Here is a 14,179-nt window from a genome sequence, read left to right on the forward strand (position 1 = left end):
ATTTGATCTTATCATTTGCTCTGCCATCTGTCTTTAGAAAAGCTAGTGATAATGTTGAAAGGTGAATCTATCTTCTGATATTTTGTTTGACTTGACTAGAACTTAACCATTGGGAATCTTGCTGGAAAAGTTGTATAGATAGAACAAAGCAACAGAAATTAATTATTCAAAAACCGGTGAACTCTAGTTTGATGTTGACTGTTTGTCTGTCCCATGCTATTTTGATTGTCAAGGTACAAATTAAAGGTGAGTCCTTTGTGTCCTCTCTGCTTCCCTTCAATTTTAATATATTCTTCTTTCCTGGGAATTATTGACTGAACTGCTAGTTTTCTCGATATATTTTTTCTACTTTTTCTACATCCTCCTTAAGTAATTGATTCAACTTATGAAATAATGGGAAGAATAAAAAGTGGGATTGAAGACAGAAGATTTATGAAAATGGAGGTATTAGCAACAAAAATAATAAAGTTTATTATTCCCCAGCATTGACTAAGACAGAACATTACAGACTAAGCTTTTGTGGGTTATGAAATTAGATATACCATAGGCAGTTTAACCCATTGTGTTGTTTCTTTTATATGCTTTCTAGTTTGTAGATATGTCCTTTTTTAATTGAAAGAGTAAAAAGCCAGTGTGGTGGCTCATGCCTGTAAATCCCAGTACTTTGGGAGGCTGAGGTGGGTGGATCGCTTGAGGCCAAGAGTTCGAGACCAGCCTGGCCAACATGACAAAACCCTGTCTCTACTAAAAATAAAAAGTTAGCAAGGCATGGTGGTGTGTGCCTGTAAGCCCAGCTATTCAGGAGGCTGAGGCACGAGAATCACTTGGTCCTGGGAGGTGGAGGTTGCAGTGAGCTGGGATTGCGCCACTGCACTCCAGCCTGGGCGACAGAGCAAGACTGTCTGAAAAAAAAGGCCGGGTGCGGTGGCTCACGCCTGTAATCCCAGCACTTTGGGAGGCCAAGGCAGGCAGATCACCTGAGGTCGGGAGTTCGAGACCAGCCTGACCAACATGGAGAAACGCTGTCTCTACTAAAAATAAAAAATTAGCTGGGCATGGTGGTGCATGCCTGTAGTCCTAGTTACTCAGGAGGCTGAGGCAGGAGAATCACTTGAACCTGGGAGGCGGAGGTTGCGGTGAGCTGAGATTGTGCCATTGTACTCCAGCCTGGGCAACAAGAGCAAAACTCTGTTTCAAGAAAAAAAAAAGAGAAGTCACCACGCCCGGCTAATTTTTTTGTATTTTTAGTAGAGATGGGATTTCGCCATGTTGGTCAGGCTGGTCTCAGACTCCTGACCTCGAGTGATCTGCCTGCCTCAGCCTTCCAAAGATGTTGGGATTACAGGCATGAGCCACTGTGCCGGGCAATTTTTTTTACTTTAGTTTGATACTGTTTAAAATGTTTTTTCCATTATTAAGGTAATCTAAGATCTTTACAAATTATTCCTAATATATAATCAGTTCTGTTTGTATCAAAACTATTCTTGCAACCTGAGTTTTCTATCCTTCATTTGTCACCACTGATTTTAATTTTGTTAATGGTTAGTGACTTGAACTAACTACAGATTTTCAAATGTGGTTCTTATGAATGTCTTAGTCTGTTTTGTGCTGCTGTAATAAAATACTATAGACTGGGTAGTTTATAAACAATAGAGTGAAACCCCGTCTCTACTAAAAATACAAAAAATTAGCCGGGCGTAGTGGCGGGCGCCTGTAGTCCCAGCTACTTGGGAGGCTGAGGCAGGAGAATGGCGTGAACCCGGGAGGCGGAGCTTGCAGTGAGCCGAGATCCCGCCACTGCACTCCAGCCTGGGCGACAGAGCGAGACTCCGTCTCAAAAAAAAAAAAAAAACAAAAAAAAAAAAACAATAGAAATTTACTTCTCGGTTCTAGAGTCTAAAAAAGTCCAAGATCAAGGCACTGTCTTATTGAGGGCTTAGTCTCTGTTTCCAAGATGGTGCCTTGTTGCTGCATCCTCCAGAGGGGAGAGACACTGTATCCTCTGATGCCAGAAGTATGAAAAAGGAAGGCAAACTCCCTTCACCAAGCCCTTTTATAAGGGCACCTAATCACATTTATGAGGGCAGAACCCTCATGACTCAATCACCTCCCAAGTACTGCTGCATTAGGGATTAAGTTTCAACATGAATTTTGAGACAAAAACATTCCAGTGATTGCAATGAAGATACCACTGTATAGTTTCGTAAATATCTTTGGAGCAAACAAAAGCATTTTCATGACACTAAGGACTTTGCAATTGCTTTTCAAATTAGGATTATTGGCTTGAAAATGTTATCTATTTGGTGAACAATAAGGCCTCTGAAATCTTTGAGTAGTAACATTTGGGGAAGATGGAGTGTGCATGGTGCTCATTCTACTTCTTCATTTCTATTAGCACCACTTTTGGGGTGCTAATAGAAATGTATGTGTGATTTGTCTGGCCCATTTTCCTGTATCTTCTGTGGTCCTGTTGAACTCCCTCTTGAAGATGATACTTGGTTTGGTGAATAGTAGCTCTTTTGTTTTTTATCTGCCTAATTTAAAAGTTAATGCTAAAAGACACACTCCACTTCCCTCCTTGAAGGCAATTACTTTTCATTCTTTCAGCTGTTTCGTTGTTTACTTGTGTTCCTTCTTCTAATATGTAATACTTCAGTTGACACTTCAGTTTTAGATATTACCTGTTATTCTGTCAGACAAATTTTGGATCTCCATAGCCCTTTTGTCCTCCTTTTTCTCTTTTCTATAGTTGTATCACAATTTTTCATTAAATTCATACTCTGTGTAAATAAAGCCATAAAGTATACTTTTTAAAATTCTATTGTGAGTTCATAATTATGTTCACTTTTCACTTTATTTTCTTTTAATTTGTGAGTGTATTTTTAATAGTTCAAAACCATTTTCCATATGATAAATGTTAGTTTGATTTTTTTTTTTTTTAAGCATGAAAACATCCTTTTTGAGATGGTCTTACTCTGTTATCCAGGCTGGAGTGCAGTGGAACATGATCATGGTTCACTGCGACCTCTGCTTCCTGGGCTTAAGCAGTCCTCCCACCTCAGCCCCCAGATTAGCCGGGGCTATAGGCACTTGCCACCACGCCTGGCTAATTTATATATTTTTTTTGTAGAGGTGGGGTCAAACTCCTGGGCTCAAGTGATCCTCCTGCCTCTGCCTCCCAAAGCACTGAGATTACAGGTGTGAGCCATCACATGTGGCCAAAAACATCCTTTATCTTCTCCAATTGGGCTGCTTACCCCCTAGGCCTTACTACACATTTTTTATTCTGGAAATGTATTTCAGTTGGCTATACACTTCATTGTCCTCCAGTATTGGATCCCTTGTTTTCTGGATGCCATGTTTACCTCTTGAGTTTAATTCCCTTTTTCGCATGGAGCCATCTTCCCATAGTTTCTCCAGAGAACATAAATGGGGAAATTTGAGACCTTCCATGTCTGACTCTGTTCTCATGTGATAATTTAGATAAAACAATAACATTCTTTAAATTACTTTCCATATCCATCTATTTGTTTAAAACTACATTTCCATTCAGAGACTTTAGGAAGAGTAAGAATCTAATGGCATTGGCAGAATTGAGAACATCCTTCTAGCAAGGGGATTCCAGTGGAAGTTGGGAGAGGTTCCCCCATCTTTTGGCTTTATAATAACACTTATCTTCTCAATTATCATGGATATCTCCTACCATAGGGCCTATGTTTGAAGTGTCATCTTGAATGAGTGCTAGTGCTGTGCCACTTGCTTCTACTTCTCCCAAGGAGCAGAGAATACTGGATTTTTTTGCATATTGAAATGACAGATACTGTATTAGTCTTTAAGTTTGAAAACTATGTATTTTGAGTATTTTCAAAAAGGTTAGTGTGTGATACGTCTTTTTTAAAAACTTCTCTGTGTTTGAAACTTCCAGAGATTTCTTTAAAGTATAGAGAATAGACTGGTACAGAGGTCTCTCTCTACTTGTTTTTTTGCAATATGCCCCAAGTACAATATTTTTTCAAAATTTCACAGATACTGTTATATGAATGAATCTTTGTTGAATCTTTTGCCTTGTTTTATCACCTATGTTGACTCACAGTAAACATGTATTAAGTGCTTACTTTGTACCTTGTGCTTTTTAAATAGGCGAATCCTCCAAAAACATCTCATGAAGTTAGATTATATTGGTATACCCGTTTTACAGATGAAGTAATGAGGCTTAGAGAGAAAAAGTAACTTGCTCAGGGTAATATCTTAGAGATATTAATTAGCTTGCTTTAGGTCACATAGAATTTTAGTGACGGAGCTAGTGTTCAAAACTGGTCAGTCTGACTCAAAGCCTGATTCTTAACTTTTAAGTCATACCACCTGCCATATAATTTTGTTATCCTGATTTTGGCTATCCTTTGAATATTTAAAGCATACTAGTTTTTCATTCTTATAAGTCTGCACTATGGATGATTTCGGGGTTCACATATTTGAAATATTTTTTACATTTTAAAAAGTATTAAGTTTGTATATTGAAGCTAAAAGTATTCTAATCTAGTTGGCCATAAACCAATCTAAATTTTTCTAGATAATTCTGTTTCCAAGTTTGTAATTTCTAATTTCATAATTTTTCAAGGATTGCCTGGACATCAGGAAGTTGAAGTTAAATATGTGGACTTTGGTAATACTGCAAAAATAACAATCAAAGACGTGCGTAAAATAAAGGATGAGTTTCTGAATGCCCCAGAGAAGGTAATTTATTTATTATGAATTCTAGGGCTAGAATATCAGCACAAATATGGAAGTATTTTTAGAAGCTATTGTCATCATAGAAATGTTAGTGTCCCTTTTTGTCTAGTTGCTGATACAGGGACTATAGATAAATGTTGCTGTGGTTACTATTGAGGAAATAATATGTATATCATGGCAAATAAGCGTATTAAACATTAATCAGGTATAGTTGTGTCTTAAGTACTTGTTGGCAGCTTTTAATATATCATTTTGAGATCATATATTGTGGTAAGAGTCACGTTCATGATATATCAAGTTAAAAATGCTTATCTCAGAAGTACTTCTACTGTGATCATATTTATACTTAAGTATATATGTGTGTACAATAGAGAAACCTGGGAGAATATGTAAAAAACTGAACCTTGTTTATCTCTGGGGAGGAGTAGTATTCTGAAAGAAGGGTAAGAAGGAGCCTTGTTTTCTAATTTATATACTGTTGTTTGAGTTGTTTTTAAGCCATGTTTTTCATTTTAGGAAGTGTGTAGTATTATAGAAAAAAATTTTAAAATACAAATGAGCAGGTTGGGCGCAGTGGCTCATGCCTGTAATCCCAGAACTTTGGGAGGCCGAGGCGGGGGGATCATGAGGTCAGGAGTTTGAGACCAGCCTGGCTAACATGATGAAACCCCATCTCTACTAAAAAGATACAAAAAATTAGCTGGGCGTGGTGGTGTGTGCCTGTAATCCCAGTTACTCAGGAGGCTGAGGCAGGAGAATTGCTTGAACCCGGGAGGCGGAGGTTGCGGTGAACCAAGATCATGCCATTGCCCTCTAGCCTGGGTGACAGGGCAAGACTCGGTCTCAAAGAAAAAAAACAAATGAGCAAAAGGGAGAATCACTCAGAATCATTGTTCAATATTTTTGATATCTGTACTTCCAGATACATCTTCTGTGCTTTCAGCAGTTATAGAATCAGACTATAAATCATCCTGTAACCTGCTTTTTACAAGTAATTAATGTATCATAAGTGTCTGTAATGAATGCTTGTTATTCCAGTATGTGAATGTACAACAGTTCATTCAGCCAAATACTGTGCTGATTTCAATGATTTGTGTTTATAAAGTACTTTTACAGACACCTTCACACATTATTTGATTATTTCTAATATGTATGAAATTCAAACATAAAGATTAGTTTTGTACACACTTAATAAAACTTGAATTCTAAAGTAGGTAGAAATTAAATTTTTTTCTTAATGGTGGAATTTTGTCTGACACAGGCAATTAAATGTAAGTTGGCCTATATTGAACCATATAAAAGGACAATGCAGTGGTCCAAAGAAGCTAAAGAAAAATTTGAAGAAAAGGCTCAAGATAAATTTATGACATGTTCAGTTATCAGTAAGTTCCATTTTTACTTGTTATGTAATCACATATAATTTTAAATAATAATATGAATAACATTTGTCAAATTTTAGAATAAATTCAGTGTGCCATCAGTAGTGGTGGTGAGAGATAAGATTTGTTGAGAATTAGGTACAATGGAATTATATCTTTTATGGACTCTAAAGTCATCAGGACAAAAATCACCATAAAAGATCAAGTCACCCTTGACATGGCCCCTTGAAAGCCCTAAAGCCAGGAATTAGCTTCTTTTATTTGTTTGCATTTTTGCTAGGGCTCTGTCCTTGTCCTTAACATAGTGGATGCTAACGTTTAATTTCCAGGAAAGTGAGGGGAGGTGGGACATGATTGGTAAACAGCTTTTCCTTGCTGTTTTTTGTCTCACTGGCTTAAACAAATTCAACTGTGGGTTCTCAGCATAATTTGAAAAAAGTTATTCCTTTTTTAGAGCAATTGGGACCAAAATAGAGTCTGACCACTAGCCCACGATTTTGTAACATAACAAGTTCTGAAAATCAAAAGTTCAGCAGCAAAATTGGTTCTGAATTGGCATGAGGCTGTATATAGTTTTTATCTCGTTTATAGTGAATATTCATATTTTACTTCAAGATAATGTTTGTGGGCTGCTGCCCCAGACTCTGCTGGGGTATTAGATACATATACACGATAGGTGCTGAGTAGCTTTTCTCAATTAGACGAATTTTGAATTCTGAAACATGCCTGGCCCCAAGGGTTTTAGATAGGGGGATTGGGAATCTGGTTTGGTTTTTTTGTTTTTTGAGACAGGGTTTCATTCTGTCACCCAAGCTGGAGTACAATGGTGTGAACAATGGCTCACTGCAGCCTCAACCTCCAGGGCTCAAGTGATCTTCCTGCCTTAGCCTACCATGTAGCTTGGACCACAGGCATATGCCACCATGGCCAGCTAATTTTTAAATTTTTTTTGTAGAGATGGGATCTTACTTTGTTGCTCAGGCCAGTCTCGAACTCTTGGGCTCAAGCGATCCTCCCTCCTCGGCCTCCCAAAGTTCTGGGATTACAGGTGTGAGCCACTTTGCCTGACTGGGAATCTGTTTTTCATCTGATATTTTGATCAGTTCCAAAGTTGTAACACATACTGGCTGGGCTGGGCTTAATGAATAGTAGTGCAGGATACATGAGACCATGTTTACTTAGCATAGATGTATAGGACTTTCAGGGGTAGTTTTTACTGTGTCCATGCCTTTCCTTTATCGTAAGACTATTGGACTATTCACTGTGAGGAAACTGGAGCCTAGAAATGAATTGCTCAAAGTCATAAGCTAGAAATGATAGTATATCTCTGATAATTTATTTACTTCAGAACAAGAAATTGTTCTAAAGAAATAGTGTCATTTAAGAGGAATGTGATTATACAGACTGTATCCTTAGGCTATAGAAGTTTTCTATCTAGCTTCTCTGAAATGAACAAATGAATTAAAGACCTCTTGGTCCTTGAACAGTCTCCACTGATTTTGAGCCAACTTTAACCTGTATAACTGTTTTCCAGCCTTCCTTTAGGAATCATGTTTCGTGGGGTTTTTGCCCCCTCCTAGAATAATTTCCCATGGACAGTCAATCAAGATTTCTTGGGTTTCTTTCTTGATTCCTCTTCTTTCTTTCTCACATAATTATTTAATACCAGTGACATCTAAACACTAGCTGTGGCATAGTTATTAACTTAGATTATTTTATTTAAAGAGTGCCAGAAGGCCTTGCCCAACCAAAACTGTCTTTTCCCATTCACCTGCACAGCAGTAAAATTGTGAGTTCAAGACCTTTATAATAAAGTGAACTACCACAGCTGAGAACAGGAACCTGCCATTAATACGTGCTGTGTTACCTTAGAAAGCAAGGAACATTTATATTTGATTAAGAGGAGAGCAGGGAAGATGATAAAGGTACAGAACACAGAGAAAGTTGACCCTATTGGAATAAAGAACTTTTTGCATAAGAAGTGTAAAACCAAAGAACTAAAGTTAACACAAGAGATGGAAAAGCAGGGGAGATCAAAGTTTATTGAGGCTCAGTGTTGCTTAGCCTTTTGTGTCTAGATAATTTATCTGGAACATTGAAAAGTAGCCAGGAATTTTTTTTTTCAACTCCTGGTAAAAAAGCTTTTTAGGCCAGGTGTGGTGGCTGATGCCTGTAATCCCAGTATTTTGGGAGGTCAGAGGCGGGTGGATCACCTGAGGTCAGGAGTTTGAGACCAGCCTGGCCAACATGGTGAAACCCCATCTCTACTAAAAATAAAAAAATATATATATTATCTGGGTATGGTGGCACGCACCTGTTACTCCCAGCTACTTGGAGGCTGAGGCAGGAGAATCACTTGAACCTTGGAGGCAGAAGTTGCAGTGAGCCGAGATTGTGCCACTGCACTCCAGCCTGGGTGAGAGAGCGAGACTTCATCTCAAATTAACAACAACAACAAGAACAACAAAAAAGCAACAAACCCTCTGCAGGAAGCGGACTGCTCCTGGAGGACCCGGGAGAGCCCCCAAAACTGAGTACCCCAACTGCAGAAGTGGGAAAGGGAGACCCTCCTCTCCTGAAAACACACTTCCACTGGAGAAGCTGAAGGTCTGTTTGTGGGAGAAGTTTCCAACTTTACCTGGAGCTGAGTCAATTTAGAGATCCCAGCGAAATATAGGGGTAGAAGAAGCAGCAGAAAGGCCCTGGGAGCTCACTGGGCCCCCAAGCAGCCCATTCCTGCCTGGTGCCACAGGGATTCAGTGGGAGAGGAGCAGGATGTAAAACTCCACAGGGAGAAGGAAATCTCTAGCTGAACTTGGTAACAATTTGAACAGGGTGAGAAGCCTCCTGGCCAGAACTCAGGGGAGGGTACAAATCTGGTGTGCAGACTCCACAGGCAGGGGAAGAACCAAGCCCTTTTCTTTCCCAGCTGGGAGGCAGATAGCCTGGGGCAGGTTTTCAAATCCATATTGCTCTCCACCTGGACACAGACTTGGGGCTGATGGGGGGAACACAGTGGGAATGAGACTGGCCCTTTGGTTTGCGTGGGCGCTGGGTGAGGCCTGTGACTGCCATCATTCCCCCACTTCCCTGACAACCTGCATGACTCAGCAGAGGCAGCCATAATTCTCCTAGGCACACAACTCCAGTGATCTGGGAATATCACCCCCATCCCCCACAGCAGCCTCAGCAAGACCCACCCAAGGAGAGTCTGAGCTTAAACACACCTAACCCTGCCCCCACCTGATGGTCCTTCCCTACCCCCCCTGGTAGCTGAAGAGAAAGGGCATATTATCTTGTGAGTTCTACGGCCCCGCCCATCGCCGGTTCCTCCTCGTACTACCACAGCTGATGCTCTCTGGAAATTACCACCTCTGGCAGGAGGCCAACTGGCACAAAAATAGAGCATTAAACCACCAAAGCTAAGAACCTTCACAGCCCATTTCACCCCATCGCCACCTCGATGGGAACAGGCACTGCTATCCACTGCTGAGAGACCCATAGGTGGTTCACATCACAGGACTCTGTGCAGACAACCCCCAGTACCAGCGCAGAACCAGGTAGACTCTCTGGGTGGCTAGACCCAGAAAGAGACAACAATCACTGTAGTTCAGCTCACAGGAAGCCACATCCATAGGAAAAGGGGAAGAGTACTGCATCAGGGGAACACCCCATGAGACAAAAAAATCTGAACGACAGTCTTCAGCCCTAGACCTTCCCTCTGACAGAGCCTATCCAAATGAGAAATAACCAGAAAACCAACCCTGGTAATACGACAAAACAAGGCTCTTCAATACCCCCCCAAAATCACACTAGTTCACCAGCAGTGGATCCAAACCAAGAAGTAGTCCTGGATTTACCTGAAAAATAATTCAGAAGATTAGTTATTAAGCTAATCAGGGAGAAAGGCGAAGCCCAATGCAAGGAAATCCAAAAAACAATATAAGAAGTGAAGGGAGAAATATTCAAGGAAATAGCTTAAAACAATCAAAAATTGAGGAAACTTTGGACACACTTTTAGAAATGCGAAATGTTCTGGAAAGCCTCAGCAATGGAATTGAACAAGTAGAAGAAAGAAATTCAGAGCTCGAAAACAAGGTCTTCGAATTAACCTAATCCAACAAAGACAAGGAAAAAAGAAAATATGAACAAAGCCTCCAAGAAGTCTGGGATTACGTTAAACGACCAAACCATAGACTTCTCTTCTTCCTCAGGAAAACATATTTGGGGAAATAATTGAGGAAAACTTCCCCAGCCTTGCTAGAGACCTGGACATCCAAATACAAGAAGCACAAAGCTTGGAAAATGTATTTGGGGGAATAATCAAGGAAAACTCCCCAGGCCTTGCTAGAGACCTAGATATCCAAATACAGGAAGCACAAAGAAGACCTGGGAAATTCATCGCAAAAAGATCTTTGCCCAGACACATTGTCATCAGGTTATCAAAGTTAAGACGAAAGGATCTTAAGAGCTGTGAGACAGAAGCACCAGGTAACCTATAAAGGAAAACCTATCAGATTACCAGCAGATTTATCAGCAGAAACCCTACAAGCTGGAAGGGATTGGGGGCCTATCTTCAGCCTCCTCAAACAAAACAATTTATCAACCAAGAATTTTCTGTCCAGTGAAACTAAGCATCATATATGAAGGAAAGATACAGTCTTTTTCAGACAAACAAAGGCTGAGAGAATTCGCCATTACCAAGCCACCACTACAAGAACTACTAAAATTTTGGAGCTCTAAATCTTGAAACAAATCCTGGAAATACATCAAAACAGAATCTCTTCAGAGCATAAATCACACCAGACCTGTAAAACAAAAATACAAGTTAAAAAGCAAAAACAAAACCAAAGTGCACAGGCAACAAAGAGCACCATGAATGCAATGGTACCTCACGTTTCAATATTAACATTGAATGTAAATTGCCTAAATGCTCACTTAAAAGATACAGAACCTCAGAATGGGTAAGAACTCACCAACCAACCATCTCCTGCCTTCAGGAGACTCACATAACACATAAGGACTCACATAAACTTGAACTAAAGGGGTGGAAAAAGGCATTTCATGCAGATGGACACCAAAAACGAGCAAGGGTAGTTATTCTTATATCAGACAAAACAAACTTAAAGCAACAGCAGTTAAAAGAGAGAGAGAGGAACGTTATATAACGGTAGACGGCCTTGTCCAACAGGAAAGTATCACAGTCTTAAACATATGTGCACCTAACACTAGAGCTCCCAAATTTATAAAACAATTACTAATAGACCTGAGAAATAAGATAGACAGCAACACAATAATAGTAGGGGACTTCAATATTCCACTGACATTACTAGACAGGTCATCAAGACAGTCAACAAAGAAACTGGATTTAAACTATACCTTGGAACAAATGGACTTAACAGATATATACAGAACATTTCATCCAACAACCGTAGAATACCCATTCTATTCAACAGCGTATGGAAATTTCTAAGACCATATGACCTCAATAAATTTAAGAAAATTGAAATTATATCAAGCACTCTCTCAGACCACAGTGAAATAAAACTGGAAATCAACTTCAAAAGGAACCTTCAAAACCATGCAAATACATGGAAATTAACCTGCTCCTGAATGAGCATTGGGTCAAAAACAAAATCAAGATGGAAATTAAAAATTTCTTCAAACTGAACGACATAATGACACAACCTATCAAAACCTCTGGCACACTGCAAAGGCGGGTGCTAAGAAAAGTTCCTAGCCCTACATGCCCACATCAAAAAGACTGAAACAGCATAAACTGACACTCTAAGGTCACATCTCAAGGACTAGAGAAACAAGAACAAGCCAAACCCAAACCTGGTGAAATAACCAAGATGAGAGCAGAACTAAATGAAATTGAAACAAACAAAAAATACAAAAGATAAATGAAAGAAAAAGCTGGTTCTTTGAAAAGGTAAATAAAATTGATAGGCCATTAGCACGATTTAGCACGATTAACCAAGAAAATGAGAGAAAATCCAAATAACCTCGCTAAGAAATGAAACAGGAGATATTACAGCTGACACCACTGAAGTACAAAAGATCATTCAAGGCTGCTATGAACACTTCTATGCACATAAACTAGAAAACCTAGAAGAGATTGGATAAATTCTGGAAAAATACAACCCTCCTAGCTTAAATCAGGAAGAATTAGATATCCTGAACAGACCAATAACAAGCAGCAAAATTGAAATGGTAATTTAAAAATTACCAACAAAAAAAAGGACCAGACGGATTCACAGCAGAATTCTGCCAGACAATCGAAGAATTGGTACTAATCCTTTTGACACTATTCCACAAGGTAGAGAAAGAAGGAACCCTCCCTAATTCATTCTATGAAGCCAGCATCACCCTAATACCAAAGCCAGGAAAGACACAACCAAAAAAGAAAACTATAGACTGATATCCTTCATGAACATAGATGTTAAAATCCTTAACAAAATACTAGCTAACCGAATCCAACAACATATCAAAAAAGTAATCCATGATCAAGTGAGTTTCATACCAGGGATGCAGGGATGGATGTAATATATGCAAGTCAATAAATGTGATACACCACATAAACAGAATAAAAAATCACATGATCTCAATAGATGCAGAAAAAGCATTCAACAAAATCCAGCATCCCTTTATGCTTAAAACTCCCAGGAATTTGGCATACAAGGGACATACCTTAATGTAATAAAAGCCATCTATGACAAACCCACAGCCAACGTAATTCTGAATGGGGAAAAGTTGAAAGCATTCCCTCTGAGAAGTGGAACAAGACAAGGATGCCCACTCTTAACCACTCTTCTTCAACATAGTAGTGGAAGTCCTAGCCAGAGCAGTCAAGCAAGAGAAGGAAAGAAAGGGCATCCAAATCAGTAAAGAAAAAGTTAAACTGTCACTGTTTGCTGATGATATGATTGTTTAACTTGAAAACCCTAAGGACTCCTCCAGAAGGCTCCTAGAACTGATAAAATAATTCAGCGAAGTTTCCGGATACAAGATTAATGTACACAAATCAGTAGCTCTTCTGTACACCAACAGCGACCAAGTGGAGAATCAAATCAAGAACTCAACCCCTTTTACAATAGCTGCAAAAAAATAAAATACTTAGGAATATAACTAACCAAGAAGTCAAAAGACCTCTAGAAGGAAAACTACAAAACACTGCTGAAAGAAATCATAGAGGACATGAACAAATGGAAACACATCCCATGGATGTGTAGAATCAATATTGGATGGGTAGAATCCATCTGATTCTATCATATTGCAATGGTACCCATATTGATGGGTAGAATGAATATTGTGAAAATGACCATACTGCCAAAAGCAATCTACAAATTAAGTGCAATCCCCATCAAAATACCACCATCATTCTTCAGAGAATTAGAAAAAACAATTCTAAAATTCATATAGAACCAAAAAAGAGGCCACATAGCCAAAGCAAGACTAAGCAAAAAGAACAAATTTGGAGGCATTACAATACCTGATTTCAAACTATACTATAAGGCCAGTCACCAAAACAGTGTGGTACTGGTACAAAAATAGGCACATAGACTAATGAAACAGAATAGAGAACCCAGAAATAAACCCAAATACTTACAGCCACTGATCTTTGACAAGGCAAACAAAAACATAAAGTGGGGAAAGGACACCCTTTTCAACAAATGGTGCTGGGATAATTGGTTAGCCACAGGTAAGAGAATGAAACTGGATCCGCATCTCTTACCTTATACAAAAATCAACTCAAGACTGATTAAAGACTGAAATCTAACAGTGTAAACTATAAAAATTCTAGAAGATACCGTTGGAAAAACCTTTCTAGACATTGGCTTAGGCAAGGATTTCATGACCAAGAACCCAAAAGCAAATGCAGTAAAAACAAACATAAATAGCTGGGACCTAATTGAACTAAAGAGCTTTTGCATGGCAAAAGGAACAGTCAGCAGAGTAAACAGACAACCCACAGAGTGGGAGAAAATCTTCACAATCTGTACATCTGACAAAGGACTAATACCCAGAATCTACAATGACCTCAAACAAATCAGTAAGAAAAAAAA

General features: G+C 39.1%; 1 protein-coding gene across 17 annotated transcripts in view; it reads left to right on the forward strand.

Moving 5' to 3' along the window:
• The window catches only part of RNF17 (ring finger protein 17), a 140,815-nt gene that overhangs the window by 78,099 nt on the left and 48,537 nt on the right, over positions 1–14,179 (forward strand). For 12 of the 17 annotated variants that reach the window (XM_011535156.3, XM_011535152.3, XM_011535158.3 and 9 more), the window contains 3 exons: positions 100–246; positions 4,619–4,734; positions 5,993–6,113. In XM_011535156.3, coding sequence (XP_011533458.1) covers positions 100–246; positions 4,619–4,734; positions 5,993–6,113 — 384 coding nt within the window. The remainder of the gene's footprint in view (positions 1–99; positions 247–4,618; positions 4,735–5,992; positions 6,114–14,179) is intronic. The other 5 variants (XM_011535159.3, XM_011535160.3, NM_031277.3 and 2 more) reach the window with 2 other exon arrangements.

Source organism: Homo sapiens, chromosome 13 (genome assembly GCF_000001405.40).
Source record: "Homo sapiens chromosome 13, GRCh38.p14 Primary Assembly".
In the NCBI taxonomy this organism is placed as follows: domain Eukaryota; kingdom Metazoa; phylum Chordata; class Mammalia; order Primates; family Hominidae; genus Homo; species Homo sapiens.